Source organism: Homo sapiens, chromosome X (assembly GCF_000001405.40).
Source record: "Homo sapiens chromosome X, GRCh38.p14 Primary Assembly".
NCBI classification, from domain to species: domain Eukaryota; kingdom Metazoa; phylum Chordata; class Mammalia; order Primates; family Hominidae; genus Homo; species Homo sapiens.
In genome coordinates, this window is record NC_000023.11 from 145,433,518 (window position 1) to 145,447,970 (window position 14,453).

The following is a 14,453-nucleotide window of genomic DNA, read 5'->3' on the forward strand; positions in this document are numbered from 1 at the left end:
GGTTAAGGGTACAGTCCTTCACAAGACTGCCCTCATTTTATACATCAACCACAAGCTTGGAAGTTTCCAGGGTCATCAACACTTCTGACCAACTAGCCAAAAATTTGGGATTTTCACAACACCTTTTGGTTCAATAACTTGCTAGAACAATGCACAGAACTCAGGAAAACACTATACTTAAAATTAGTTTTATTATAGCAAAATTAATACAAATCAGAAAGAGCCAAAAGAATAGATGTACAGGGTGATGTCTGGGAGTGTCTGTAACACAAAGGTGTCTTCTCCCTATGTATTTAGGATGGATAATTCTCTCAGTATACAGTGTTCTTAACCAGGGAGGCTCACTTGAGCTTTGTTGTTGGTAGTTTTTATTGGGGTTCCATTACATAGTCACAAATGATTGAATCATTGGCTAAGAGGTTGAATTTAATCTTTTACCTCTCCTCCCCTTCCTGGAGGTTGGGCTGATGCCACCTGGCTGAAAACTCTAATGCTGTGATCACATAGTTGGTCTTCTTGACATGGCCAACCCCCACTCTGAGTCACTATCTCACTGTCTTAGTATCAACTATGTAGGGGCCCACCAAGAGTCACCTAATTAGCATAAACTACTAAGTGTGGCCCGCGGGGCCTGCCATGAATGACAAAGACATTTCAATTACTCAAGAAATCTCAAAGTTTAAGGGCTACCTCCCAGAAATGAAGAACACAGGCCAGATAAATTTTTTATTACATAACACTCAGGAACCCCAGGAGGATGAAGCTGCCACCATCTTGAACTTTGATCATTGTAGTGAGAGACAGAAAGAGAAATTTGGGTAGTCTCACAATGATAATTAAATGTCCTGTCCCAGAAAATGGAATGTTATTTCTGTTGACAACTCATTGGCCCAAATTAATCACATGACTCCACCAAACCATAAGGGGTCCACAAAGTACAATTCTTCAATGGGATTGGAAGTGAAGAGTAAAAAGTATTTGACTGATAGCCCTAGTGACTTACCATAAATGTTCTTCAGTTGAACATCATATTCTTAGCACAGTTACTTTTTACCAACATTTTCATTCACAAATTATTTTTTTACATGGATGCCGTCCATGTAAAAATTAGCTAAATATCACTAAAATATCACTATATTGAATGATCTTATCTGGAAACTCATAATTATTTTCATAGATTTAAGGTTTTATTTTGAATAACACAGCATCTGTGTTCGTCTTTTATTTCCCTTAACCATGTTAACTTTAAATTGTGTGTTAAAAATAGAAATGACATGTAGCAGAGTATTGAGTACTTTAAATATTTTTGTTTCTGTGTGAATTTATTTCAATACAAATAATTGTAAAGGGTAAAATAAAATCACTCTGTTACATTAAACTAATAACTTGGGCTTGAAAAGCAAATATTTCTCTTGTATTTGCCAAGTAATCTAGACTACTACCTAGATTTATTTTGGTATCACAAATACTAAGGGGAATGAAGCAGTCTTACACTATTAGTCATGATGTCATACAAACACACAGTTACATAGTTATTAAAATGAGTTCAGAAGGTAATAAATTGTTTCCTTTGCAAAATAGAACTGATAAATAGAGTAAATAAATTAAGAAACACAAAAGCAGTATTCAAGGCCATTCATCTGACATTCAGTGCTCAGTATATATTACCACTTCTGGATGATGTCAAGGCTATCTCATCTGTGGGGAAAAATGAAAAGAATTGAGAAGGGGAAAGATGATTATTTTAAAGAACAGATTCCCTTTTGTTTAAATAATTACAATAGTTGAACCTCCTGCCTTTCCCCATGCCCCAGGCCTATGTGAATAATTGACAGATATATTACTTCACATCAATCATCACCTAAGATGGCACTTCTAGTATCTTTCTGAAATTTCATCATACTTTCCCCCATCTCCTCTTCTGCTAGGAATTCAAGGAAGGAAATACCTAACTAGTCAGGCAGCATGAGAATTTACAGTTCATTTTGAAAAGGCTCTTACAGTATTAGAAACTTTGTTTAGAAATGCAGTTTAAGCTCTCCCTCTCCCTCTCCCTCTCCCCACGGTCTCCCTCTCCCCACGGTCTCCCTCTCCCCACGGTCTCCCTCTCCCCACGGTCTCCCTCTCCCTCTCTTTCCACAGTCTCCCTCTGATGCCGAGCCAAAGCTGGACTGTACTGCTGCCATCTCGGCTCACTGCAACCTCCCTGCCTGATTCTCCTGCCTCAGTCTGCCGAGTGCCTGCGATTGCAGGCGCACGCCACCACGCCTGACAGGTTTTCGTATTTTTTTGGTGGAGACGGGGTTTCGCTGTGTTGGCCGGGCTGGTCTCCAGCTCCTAACCGCGAGTGATCCGCCAGCCTTGGCCTCCCGAGGTGCCGGGATTGCAGACGGAGTCTGGTTCACTCAGTGCTCAATGGTGCCCAGGCTGGAGTGCAGTGGCGTGATCTCAGCTCGCTACAACCTCCACCTCCCAGCCGCCTGCCTTGGCCTCCCAAAGTGCCGAGATTGCAGCCTCTGCCCGGCCACCACCCCGTCTGGGAAGTGAGGAGCGTCTCTGCCTGGCCGCCCATCGTCTGGGATGTGAGGAGCCCCTCTGCCTGGCTGCCCAGTCTGGAAAGCGAGGAGCATCTCTGCCCGGCCGCCATCCCATCTAGGAAGTGAGGAGCACCTCTTCCCTGCCGCCATCCCATCTAGGAAGTGAGGAGCGTCTCTGCCCGGCCGCCCATCATCTGAGATGTGGGGAGCGCCTCTGCCCCGCCGCCCAGTCTGGGATGTGAGGAGCGCCTCTGCCCGGCCGCGACCCTGTCTGGGAGGTGAGGAGCGTCTCTGCCCGGCCACCCCGTCTGAGAAGTGAGGAGACCCTCCGCCCAGCAGCCACCCCGTCTGGGAAGTGAGGAGCGTCTCCGCCCGGCAGCCACCGCGTCGGGGAGGGAGGTGGGGGGTCAGCCCCCGCCAGGCCAGCCGCCCCGTCAGGGAGGGAGGTGGGGGGTTCAGCCCCCCACCCGGCCAGCCGCCCCGTCCGGGAGGTGAGGGGCGCCTCTGCCCGGCCGCCCCTACTGGGAAGTGAGGAGCCCCTCTGCCCGGCTACCACCCCATCTGGGAGGTGTACCCAACAGCTCATTGAGAAAGGGCCATGATGACAATGGCGGTTTTGTGGAATAGAAAGGGGGGAAAGGTGGGGAAAAGATTGAGAAATCGGATGGTTGCCGTGTCTGTGTAGAAAGAGGTAGACATGGGAGACCTTTCATTTTGTTCTGTACTAAGAAAAATTCTTCTGCCTTGGGATCCTGTTGATCTGTGACCTTACCCCCAACCCTGTGCTCTCTGAAACATGTGCTGTGTCCACTCAGGGTTAAATGGATTAAGGGCGGTGCAAGATGTGCTTTGTTAAACAGATGCTTGAAGGCAGCATGCTCGTTCAGAGTCATCACCACTCCCTAATCTCAAGTACCCAGGGACACAAACACTGCGGAAGGCCACAGGGTCCTCTGCCTAGGAAAACCAGAGACCTTTGTTCACTTGTTTATCTGCTGACCTTCCCTCCACTATTGTCCTATGACCCTGCCAAATCCCCCTCTGCGAGAAACACCCAAGAATGATCAATAAAAAAAAAAAAAAGAAAAGAAAAAGATACACAGAGAGCATCTAGGGTTATTCTAGTTCTTAATACAGGTGATGTTTACTTCATGGTTCGTTACACAGTACATTGTTTTATACACTTTTTTCTTTTTTTTTTTTTGTTAGAGGCAGGGTCTCGCCCAGCTGATTTCAAACTCCTGGGTTCAGGCAATCCTCCCACCTCAGCCTCCCTAAGAGCTGGCATTATAGGCGTGAGCCACTGCTCCCGGCCTTGTTTTATGTATTTTTCCATATGTAGGTAATGGCTCATAATAAAAGGTTTTTTTGAAAATACACAAAAAAACTACCATTACACTCCCACCAGACTGGAAACAATTTAAAAGTCCAACCAAGTTTAATCAAGTGTTGTGCAAAAAGTAGAACAAATGGAAGTCTCACACATCCCTGATGGGAGGGCAATGCATTACGCCTCTTTGAAAACCAGACAATATATGATAAAATTGAAGGGGAGCACACCCTACTCAGCAATTCCTTTCCTAACTATATGCTGTCAAGAACTCTTGCACACGCACACACGTATATTCCCAGGCATCTTCTAGAAGAAAATGGTGGTTATTTGTGAGGGTTAGGATTACTAGGAGAGGTCGGGCGCAGTGGCTCACGCCTGTAATCCCAGCTCTTTGGGAGGCAGAGGCAGGAGGATAGCTTGAGCCCAGAAGTTCAAGACCTGCCTGAGCAATATAGTGGGACCCTGTTCTCAAAAATTTAAATAAAAAAAAAAAATCTGCTGGGAGAGAGAGGAAGAGGAGGAGGAAGCAAAAAAAAAAAAAAAAAAAAAAGAAAAGAAAAAGATAAAAAAAAGATTACTGGGAGAAATTCAACTCAGGGTTGCCTCCTCTGGAAGGCCGCATCTGACTAGTCCAGACAGAATTAATGGCTCTGTCTCCTGTCCTCACCCATCACTTCAGTTACCAGTTAGCACAAGTTTTTGGCTGTCTCATTCTCCTTTCCTTCCCCCTCCAAAATTGAAAACTTAATGAAACAAGGACTGTGGTCTGATTCACCTGTCCAAGTCTCTGTTGTATAGAAAGAACACTTCCTAAATGTCTGTCTGATGGATGTTTTTGGAATTAATGCCTAAAAATAAGAAAAATAAGAAACAGGGGTGATCAGACAATCAAGGTTCTAGTACAGAGAATCCTTTTGGAGTTTCTGCTAGATTGACAGAAATCCCCAATTCAGGAGTTAACAGTTAAGAATGGGGGCCTTAGGGCGCGGTGGCTCACGCCTGTAATCGCAGCACTTTGGGAGGCTGAGGCAGGCGGATTATGAGGTCGGGAGATGGAGACCATCCTGGCTAACATGGTGAAACCCTGTCTTTACTAAAAATACAAAAAAATTAGCCGGGCCTGGTGACAGGCGCCTGTAGTCCCAGCTACTCACGAGGCTGAGGCAGGAGAATGGCTTGAACCCAGGAGGCAGAGCTTGCAGTGAGCCGAGTTCACGCCACTGCACTCCAGCCTGGGTGAAAGAGCGAGACTCCATCTCAAAAAATAAAAATAAAATAAAATTAAAAAAAAAAAAAAAGAAATGCAGTTTAAAAGAAAGAATATAGTCTTGAAACCAGAAGTCAAGAGATATCATATGGGATAATTAAAAAGTAATTTACCAGTAACAACAAAAATTCCAATTAGACTCTTCTCACCAGTCCTTAAATATGAAAGTAATTTCCATATATTAAGGACCTAATATGTGTGATTTATATTCATTATCTCAAATAATCCTAATAACATGTGAAACAAATGTTAGGATCCTTAATGGTAAAGTGAGGAAATGGAGGCTCTGAATAATTAAATTATTTGATCAAAACCAGCATAGTCCCAAGATTTACAAATAGAATCATTCTCCTTTCCTTTCAACTAGCAGTTAGTTGGAGCTGACCTTTATTGGTGCACAGGAGCCAATTGTTAAACATTCAGGAATTATATTTGCAGGCTTGTTGTTAAATACGGCCATTATTAAAAATGAAATTATATAAAACTACAATCAAATGAATTATATTAAAATATATAATATTCAAAACTCATCACTTTCGGATTATTTTCCTATGTTCTACTACTATCTGTGTTCTTGAGGTTATTACATACATTGTATCAGAATGGTGAAAATAATATATAACAGTGTACTGCTGGGTACAATGGGTACAATTCACCCATTGTAGAAGTATTTACACCATGGAAATCAACACATGCTATAAACCAGGGCTTGGCTGGGTGCTTTTCTAGATTTAGTAAAATAGTAAAGTGTTAATAATGCAGATTAAACTTAAAAGTGTGCCATGCCTACAGCCATGATGTTGTGAATAGCATAAATAATTTAGGAAATAATCTTCCGCCATTTGAAAACTATTATCCAATCCAGCAAAAATTGACTCACTTCCTTGCCAAAATGAGTGAAGTTTTGACTTTCATCTTTGATGTTTCACTTTCACTTTACTTCTTAATATAAATGAAAGCCTCAGCCAACATTTATGTTAGAACTACATTAATTCATCAGTTGTGATGAGAATGTAGAAATTAGGAAAAATCAACAAAAGCATTCTGTGAGAATAACAACTATATGGATTGACAATAAAGTACAATAAAGAGTATTGTATATTTTATTCATATTTGCAAATTGCATGCAACACATGCTAAGTATCATCAAAAATTTAAAATATGCATATATGTATACACACACACACACACACACACACACACACGTATGTTTATATATTGCATGCTGCTTAATCATTTGCCAGAATACCAACAGCTTTCAATGGTATGATGTCAAAATTCAGTGAAACCGCTTTTGCCAAAAAAAAAAAACTGATAAGCCCCCTAGTTACTAAATTCAGTTCTCTTTTATTTTATCTATTTGTAGCATTTGGCACTTCAGCAACTCTTTTTTTTTTTTTTTTTTTTTTTTTTTAGTGAATTATTCTTAGTTTCCGGGAACCACTCCATCTTTGCCTTTACCATAGTTCAATGTAAGTCCCTATATCCTAAATATTGGTATTCCAAGGCATTCTATTATATGGTCTCTAGTGTCACAATATTTACTCCTTGGGCAATATTAGCTACTCACACAGTCTTAACGACAACTAATAATTTGATAACTTCCAAATATGTAACTCTAACATAGCTATCTCGCTTGGCATTGTTTGGGCAAATGTATAGATATCCCTAAGTGAATATTTATCAATAACTTTGCACTTAACACAGCCAAAATTAAATATGACTTGTCTTGCAAATGTGCTTCTTCCTTGTTATTTTCTAACCTGATTAATGGCATTATGCATTCATCCAAAAATATGTGAATCATCGTAGATTTCTCACCCAAGCGTATTTTCAATCAATTATGAAGTCCCTTGATCTGATACAATTCTCCTTTCTTTCCAAACCTTGAGCTAATGTTTTATTTGGGTTCTAGCCATCTGTTGTCTGGACTCTTGTAATAAGCTTCTAACTCACATGTATTTTTGTCCACCCATACTTAGTCCAACAAACTGCTGCCAGTGAGGTATTTATAAAAATGCAAATATAATCATATTATTTTCCTAGATGAAATTCAATTTTCTATAGTAGTGTTTCAGACTTTTTCACTGCAACCTCTGGAAAGAGACACTTTGTTTGTCAAGACCCAGTGTATACAATGGGCATGTGAGCATGTACCTACATGCACGCACACATCCAATAGAAAAAAAATATAACAAAACAGTGCTTTGCACTCTGCTATTTGGTATTATATATAATTTTTTAAATGCTGGCTGACTATAGGCCACAAAATTATTTTATGACCTACTAATTGAATGTGAGCCATCAGTTTATAAATTACTGAAGTAGAGCAAAATATATATATATCTCTTATGCATAGTACACAAAGCCATTCACAATTAAAAGTAAAAATAGAAAATACTTTGAAATGAATAGTAATAAAATATAAACTATCAAAATTTGTTGGAGGATTCTATAAATCTAAAACTATTCTAAAATAAAGTTCATTAAAATGTTGGATATAGCAAAAGCAGTACTTAGAGGATAATTTAACATTTCAAAGTTTTATATTAGAAATGAATAAAGGTTTAAGATAACTGACGGAAGTATTCTCCTTGAGAAGCTAGAAAAGTCAGATTAAGCTCAAAGTACATAAAGGAAACAATAAGTATAGGAGCACAGATCAATAAAACATAAGAAAAATATATAATTATAAAATAAAACCAAGGCTGGGTGTGGTGGCTCACGCCTGTAATCCCAGCACTTTGAGAGGTCAAGGCGGGTGGATCACCTGAGGTCCAGAGTTCGAGACCAGCCTGGCCAACATGACGAAACCCCATCTCTACTAAAAATGCAAAAATTAGCCAGGCATGGTGGTGCACGCCTGTAATGCCAACTACTCAGGAGGCTGAGGCAGGAGAATTGCTTGAACCTGGGAGGTGCAGGTTGCAGTAAGCCGAGATTGCGCCACTGTACTCCAGCCTTAGAGACAGAGTGAGACTCCACCTCAGAAAAATAAATAAATAAAATAAAATAAAACCAAGTTATTTATTTGAAATAATTAATAAAGTCTATAAACTCCTAGGATAATTGAGTAAAGAAAAAAGATATAAAAATAATTTATCAATATCAGAATAAAATGGTAGGGATATTCTCAGCAGAATTTACACAAAGGGTCAACTAAATTTTCTGCAATGACGGAAATGTTTGATAACCTGTGCTGCTTAGTGATGTCGCTTCTACTCACATTTGGCTATTAAGCACATGAAATGTAGCCACTCTAACAAAAGAACTAGAACTTTAATTTAATTTTTAATTGAATTGAATTGAATTTAGATAGCCACATATATGGAATTTTGAACCCATGGACATGGTATGTCTGTAATTATTTAGATTTTCTTAAAATTGTTAAGGTAACAATTCTCCTTAATTTTAGAGATGTGTGTGTGCCTATGTGTGTTTATTCAATGTAATTTCAGTCATAACACCAATGGGCTTTTTCATAAAAATTGGCAATCTGATTCTAACATTTATATGAAAAGAACTAGAATATCCAAGGCAATCTTGCAAAGGAAAAAACAAACAGGTATCCTTATTTAACTCAACTGTAAGACTTAGTATAATGCACAATAATCACTACAGTATGATGCTGACTTAACAACCATGCCAGGCGCAGTGGTTCACGCCTGTAATCCCAGCACTTTGGGAGGCTGAGGCGGGTCGATCATGAGGTCAGGGGTTCAAGACCAGCCTGGCCAAGATGGTGAAACCCCGTCTCTACTAAAAATACAAAAATTAGCCAGGCGTGGTGGCACACACCTGTAATCCCAGCTACTTGGGAGGCTGAGGCAGAGAATTGCTTAAACCCGGGAGGCAGAGGTTGCAGTGAGCTGAGATCGCGCCACTGCACTCCAGCCTAGGTGACAGAGTGAGACTCCGCTTCAAAAAAAAAAAATGAAAGAATTAACAACTAGATCAATAGCAAAGAATAAATATCACAGTAATAGACCCCAAAATATATACCCATCTGATTTTCAATAATGACAGTGATGGAGTCCAATGGGGGAAAAGCATTTTTAATGAATGAAGCTAGAATAATTGGACAACCATAAAGAAAAACATGAACCTTGTCCCTGCCTCACAGTATGCATAATAAATAATCAGATAGATTATAATCTTAAATGTGAAAGCGAAAACCATAAATTTCTTAGAAGAAAACCTAGGAGAATATTTTCATGATTTGGACTAGTCATAGAGAGCAATAATCACAAAATATAATTTATATATTTGATTTAATTGGAATATTAAAATTGTATCTATATATCAAAATAATGCATTAAGAGAGTGAATAGGCAAGTCCCAAACTAGGAGAAAATATTTGTAAACACATATCTGACAAAGAATGTCACTAATTTTATAATTAATGATGTTATACAATTTATTATATAATTATATAATTTGATTACAATTCAATAATCAAAAGAAAAGCAACCTAACAAATACGGGAAGAATATTTGAATAGACATTTCACAGGAAAAGATATATGAATGGCCAAAAAGCAAATGAAAAGGTGCCCAGTATCATTAATCATGAGGGAAATACAATGTAAAACCACAGTGTGATAACACTACACATTTGCCAGATTGCCTAAGACTTTGATATGGCTTGGCTCTGTCCTCACCCAAATCTCATCTTGAATTGTAGTTCCCATAATCCTTACGTGTCATGTAAGGGTTTCAGGAGGAGGCAACTGAATTATAGGGGCGGGTCTTTCCTGTGCTGTTCTCATAATAGTGAATAAGTCTCATGAGATCTGATGGTTTTAGAAAGGGCAGTTCCCCTGCACTCACTCTCTTGACTACCACTATGTAAGACTTGACTTTGCTCCTCCTTCACCTTCCTCCATGATTGTGAGGCCTCCCCAGCCATGCAGAGCTGAGTCCATTAAACCTCTTTCCTTTATAAATTACCCAGTTTTGTATATGTATTCATTAGCAACATGAGAACAGACTAATACAGTAAATTGGTGTCAGGTAATGGGGTACTGCTGTAAATAGATACCCAAAACTGTGGAGGCAACTTTAGAACTGGGTAATAGGACGGCAACCATCCTCCAAAACCCAGAATGCTAGATCCACTGACAGCTTGCATCGTGCACCTGGAAAAGCCACAGACACTCAACACTAGCCTGTGAAAGCAGCCAGGAGCGGGATTGTATCCTGCAAAGTCACAGGGGCAGAGTTGTCCATGGCTGTGGAAGCCTACCTCTTGCATCAGTGTGTCCTGGATGTGAGACACGGAGTCAAAGGAGATCATTTTGGAGCTTTAAGATTTAACTTCGCTGCTAGATTTGGGACTTCCATGGGGCCTGTAGCCTTTTGGTTTTGGCCAAATTCTCCCACTTGGAATAGATGTATTTACCCAATGCCTGTACCCACATTGTATCTAGGAAGTAACTAACTTGCTTTAGATTTTACAGGCTCATAGGCAGAAGGGACTTGCCTTGTCTCAGATGAGACTTTGGACTGTGGACTTTTGAGTTAATGCTGAAATGAGTTAAGACTTTGGAGGACTGTTGGGAAGGCATGATTAGTTTTGAAATGTGAGGACATGAGATTTGGGAGGGGCCGGGGTGAATTATATGGTTTGGCTGTGTTTCCACCCAAATCTCATCTTGAATTATAGCTCCCATAACCCCCATGTGCTGTGGGAGGGACCTGGTGGAAGGTAACTGAATCATGGGTATGGATCTTTCCTTTGCTGTTCTCATGATAGTGAGTAAGTCTTACAAAATCTGATGGTTTTATAAGGGGGAGTTCCTCTGCACACTCTCTCTTGCCTGCCACCATGTACGATGTGATTTTGTTCCTCCTTCACCTTCCACCATGATTGTGAGGCCTCTCCAGCCATGTGGCACTGTGAGTCAATTAAACCTCTTTCCTTTATAAATTACCCAGTCTTACATATGTCTTCATTAGCTGTGTGAGAACAGACTAATACAGACTTTAAGAGATTGATAATACCAAATATTGGCAAGAATGTGAAATGACTATGACTCTCAAACATTGTTGGGAGAAGTAGTAAAGTCACTCTGGAAAATAATCTGGCAGTTTCCTTAAAATTAAGGAAACACCCACCCTATAACCCAGAAATAAACATCCTAGGTATTCCACAAAAATAATTATACAAGAATGTTCACAGGAATTTAATAATAACCAAAGGTGGAAAAAGACAAGTATTCTTTTAAAAGGAAAATGGACAAACAAGCTGCGGAGTGTTCATACAATGGAAGACTGCATAACAACAAAGAGAAATCAACTACTGATACACAGCAATATGCAGGAATCTCAAAAATCATTATGCTGGATTAAAAAAAAAAGCCTTTCAGAAAAAAGTATGCAATGATTTCATTTATATAAAGTTCTGTTAGGCAAAACTAATCTATGGTGGGAAAATGTGAGAGCAATCATTGCCTTTGGAGGATAGAGATGAGGATTGACTACAAAGGGAATGAGAAAATTTTCTGGGGTGATGATAACATTTTATACCTTTATAGTTTAGGCTATGCAGATGTATGCATTTCCCAAAATTTAAGAAACAGTGCTCCTAATATTTGTGCATTTCATTGTATACAAAATTTACCACAAAAGAAAAAAATGCACAATAAGGACATTTTGAATTATACTTAAATATATGATCACTGAAGTAGTTTGAGACAGAGTTTTGCTCTTGTTGCCCTGGCTGGAGTGCAGTGGTGCCATCTCGGCTCACTGCAACCTCCGCCTCCCAGGTTCAAGTGGTCCTCCTGCCTCAGCCTCCTGAGTAGCTGGGATTACAGGCATGTGCCACCACGGCCAGTTAATTTTGTATTTTTAGTGGAGAGGGGGTTTCTCCATGTTGGTCAGGCTGGTCTCAGACTCCCACCTCAGGTGATCCGCCTGCCTCCGCCTCCCAAAATGCTAGGATTACAGGTGTGAGCCACTGTGCCCGGCCTATATAGCTTATTTGTTTATGCATGAGAATATAAGATATATTGATGAATAGATATGCGAGAAAGCAAGTATAGGAAAGGGTTAATGATAGCCTCTAGTTGGTGGCTATATGGGTATACATTCAAACATGGTATGAACTGAATGTTTCTGTCCTCCCAAAATTCTTATGTTGAAATCCTGGCCAGGTGCGGTTGCTCATGCCTGTAATCCTAGCACTTTGGGAGGCCGAGGTGGGCAGATCACCTGACGTCAGGAGTTTGAGACCAGCCTGGCCAACATGGTGAAACCCTGTCTCTACTGAAAATACAAAAAAAAAAAAAAAATTAGCTGGGCATAGTGGTGGGCGCCTGTAATCCCAAGTACTCAGGAGGCTGAGGTAGAGTATCACTTGAACCTGGGAGATGGAGCTTGCAGTGAGCCGAGATCACGCCACTGCACTCCAGCCTGGGCAACAGAGTGAGACTCCATCTCAAAAAATAAGAAAAGAAATCCTAACCCCAAAAGTGATGTCATTAGGAGGAGTGGTCTTTAGAAGGTAAGTAGGTCACAAGAGTGGATCCCCCATGAATAGGATTAGTGCCCTTATAAAAAGGACAAAGAGGAATTGATTTTCTCTCTCTGCCCTCTGCTGTTTGAGGACGTAGCAAGAAGTCATTAGTCTACAACAGAGAAGAGGGCCCTCACCAGAACCTGACCATGCTGGCACTCTGTGCTCATACTTTTCAGCCTCCTAAACTGTGAGAAATAAATTTCTGTTGTCTAAGCCACCAAATATATGGTAAGTTGTTATAGAAGCCCAAACTAAGACAAAAATCTTATAACTTTTTAATATGTTTGAAATTAGTATTAATATGTTTTTAAAAAATAATGCTGTATGAAAAAGGCAGACAAAGAAGAGTGCATATTGTCTTCTTATGTTTATTTGATATACAAGAGCAGTTACAAGTAATCTATGGGGAGAAAAGTGGAAACAGTGATTAACAGTAGGAATGGGGATTGACTGGAAGGGGTAAAAGGAAGTATTCTGGTGTGACAGAAAAGCTCTATGTGGAGGATGGCTGCATGAATGTATATATTTATCAAAATTTTTCACATCTACACTAAAAAGGTATGTATTTCACTCTATGTAAATTTTATCTGAATACAAAAAAATAATTTAAAAATAACATTCAGCACCATCTTAATACCAGATGTTGAGTTCAGAGACAAAAGTATTAAACAATACAATGAAAGATACTTTCATAATATGAAAGTGAACAATTCACGATGCAGATTTTAGGTTATGATATTAATGTCCCAAATAAAATAGCATCAAAATGTATGCTGTGTAATACCACAGGTGCAATAATATCTGACTCTGTCACTGTGTTTAACTTCTTACAGTTTTCTAGCCTCACTACTCTCTCTTCCTCTTCTGCCCTAGATGTGGGCAAAGTAGTAAAAGAATCTAGGTGTCACCTACATCAGTGCTAGTGCTAAGTTCAAACCATAAAAGCCTTGGCCATACAAGGGAGAACACTCACTCCAGCCCCACCCCATGACCGTGATGAAAACCTCAAGTTAGTCTCCTTTCCATGCAATATCAAGTCATTTTTGTACCTTGCTTGGGAGCTGCCTAGCTCTCTATGGAAATCCTCATTTTGTGAGTGATAAATCATTTCAAACCCTCTTGTGTGGCATCATCAGTGTCAACATTTGAACCAAATCGTGGGTGAGGGGATTCATCCCACCTCTATGAAGTGATCACTTACAATAGGGAATGCAATAAATAGAAATAGATTATAGGGATAAGCTTTACCTTTTTTTCTCTTGAAATGCCACATAACAACAACAGATAAAGCATTTCTCTTTTCTATTTCTGAATAACAAAACACCTCATTACTTAAAGGTGTAAAACCAATTTATTACTATTTCTCATAGCTCCTACTGTTGACTGAGCTAACTTGGGTAGGTCTCACTAAGTTGTCTTAGATGCCATGGATGGAGCCAACTGAAGGCTTCTTCACTCACATGTCTGATTCAGTAATGAATATAAATGAGGCCGGACATAGTGGCTCACACTTGTAATCCCACCACTGTGAGAGGCCGAGGCGGGTGGATCACCTGAGGTCAAGAGTTCGAGACCAGCCTGGCCAACATGGCGAAACCCCGTCTCTACTAAAAAATACAGAAATTAGCTGGGTGTGTTAGTGTGTGCCTGAAATCCCAGCTACTCAGGAGGCTGAGGCACGAGAATGCTTGCACCTGGGAGGTGGAGGCTACAGTGAGCTGAGATTGTGCCACTGCACTACAGCCTGGGCAACAGAGTGAGACTCTGTCTAAATAAATAAATAAATAAATACATA

General features: G+C 40.0%; 1 annotated feature.

The window, feature by feature from the left end:
* Positions 1,596-2,117: an enhancer, noted in NCBI's record as "H3K27ac hESC enhancer chrX:144516631-144517152 (GRCh37/hg19 assembly coordinates)". NCBI's record gives its function as "activates a minimal SCP1, AML or CMV promoter by ChIP-STARR-seq in primed H9 embryonic stem cells {active_cell/tissue: H9 hESC(primed)}" and the evidence as "EXISTENCE:reporter gene assay evidence [ECO:0000049][PMID:30033119]".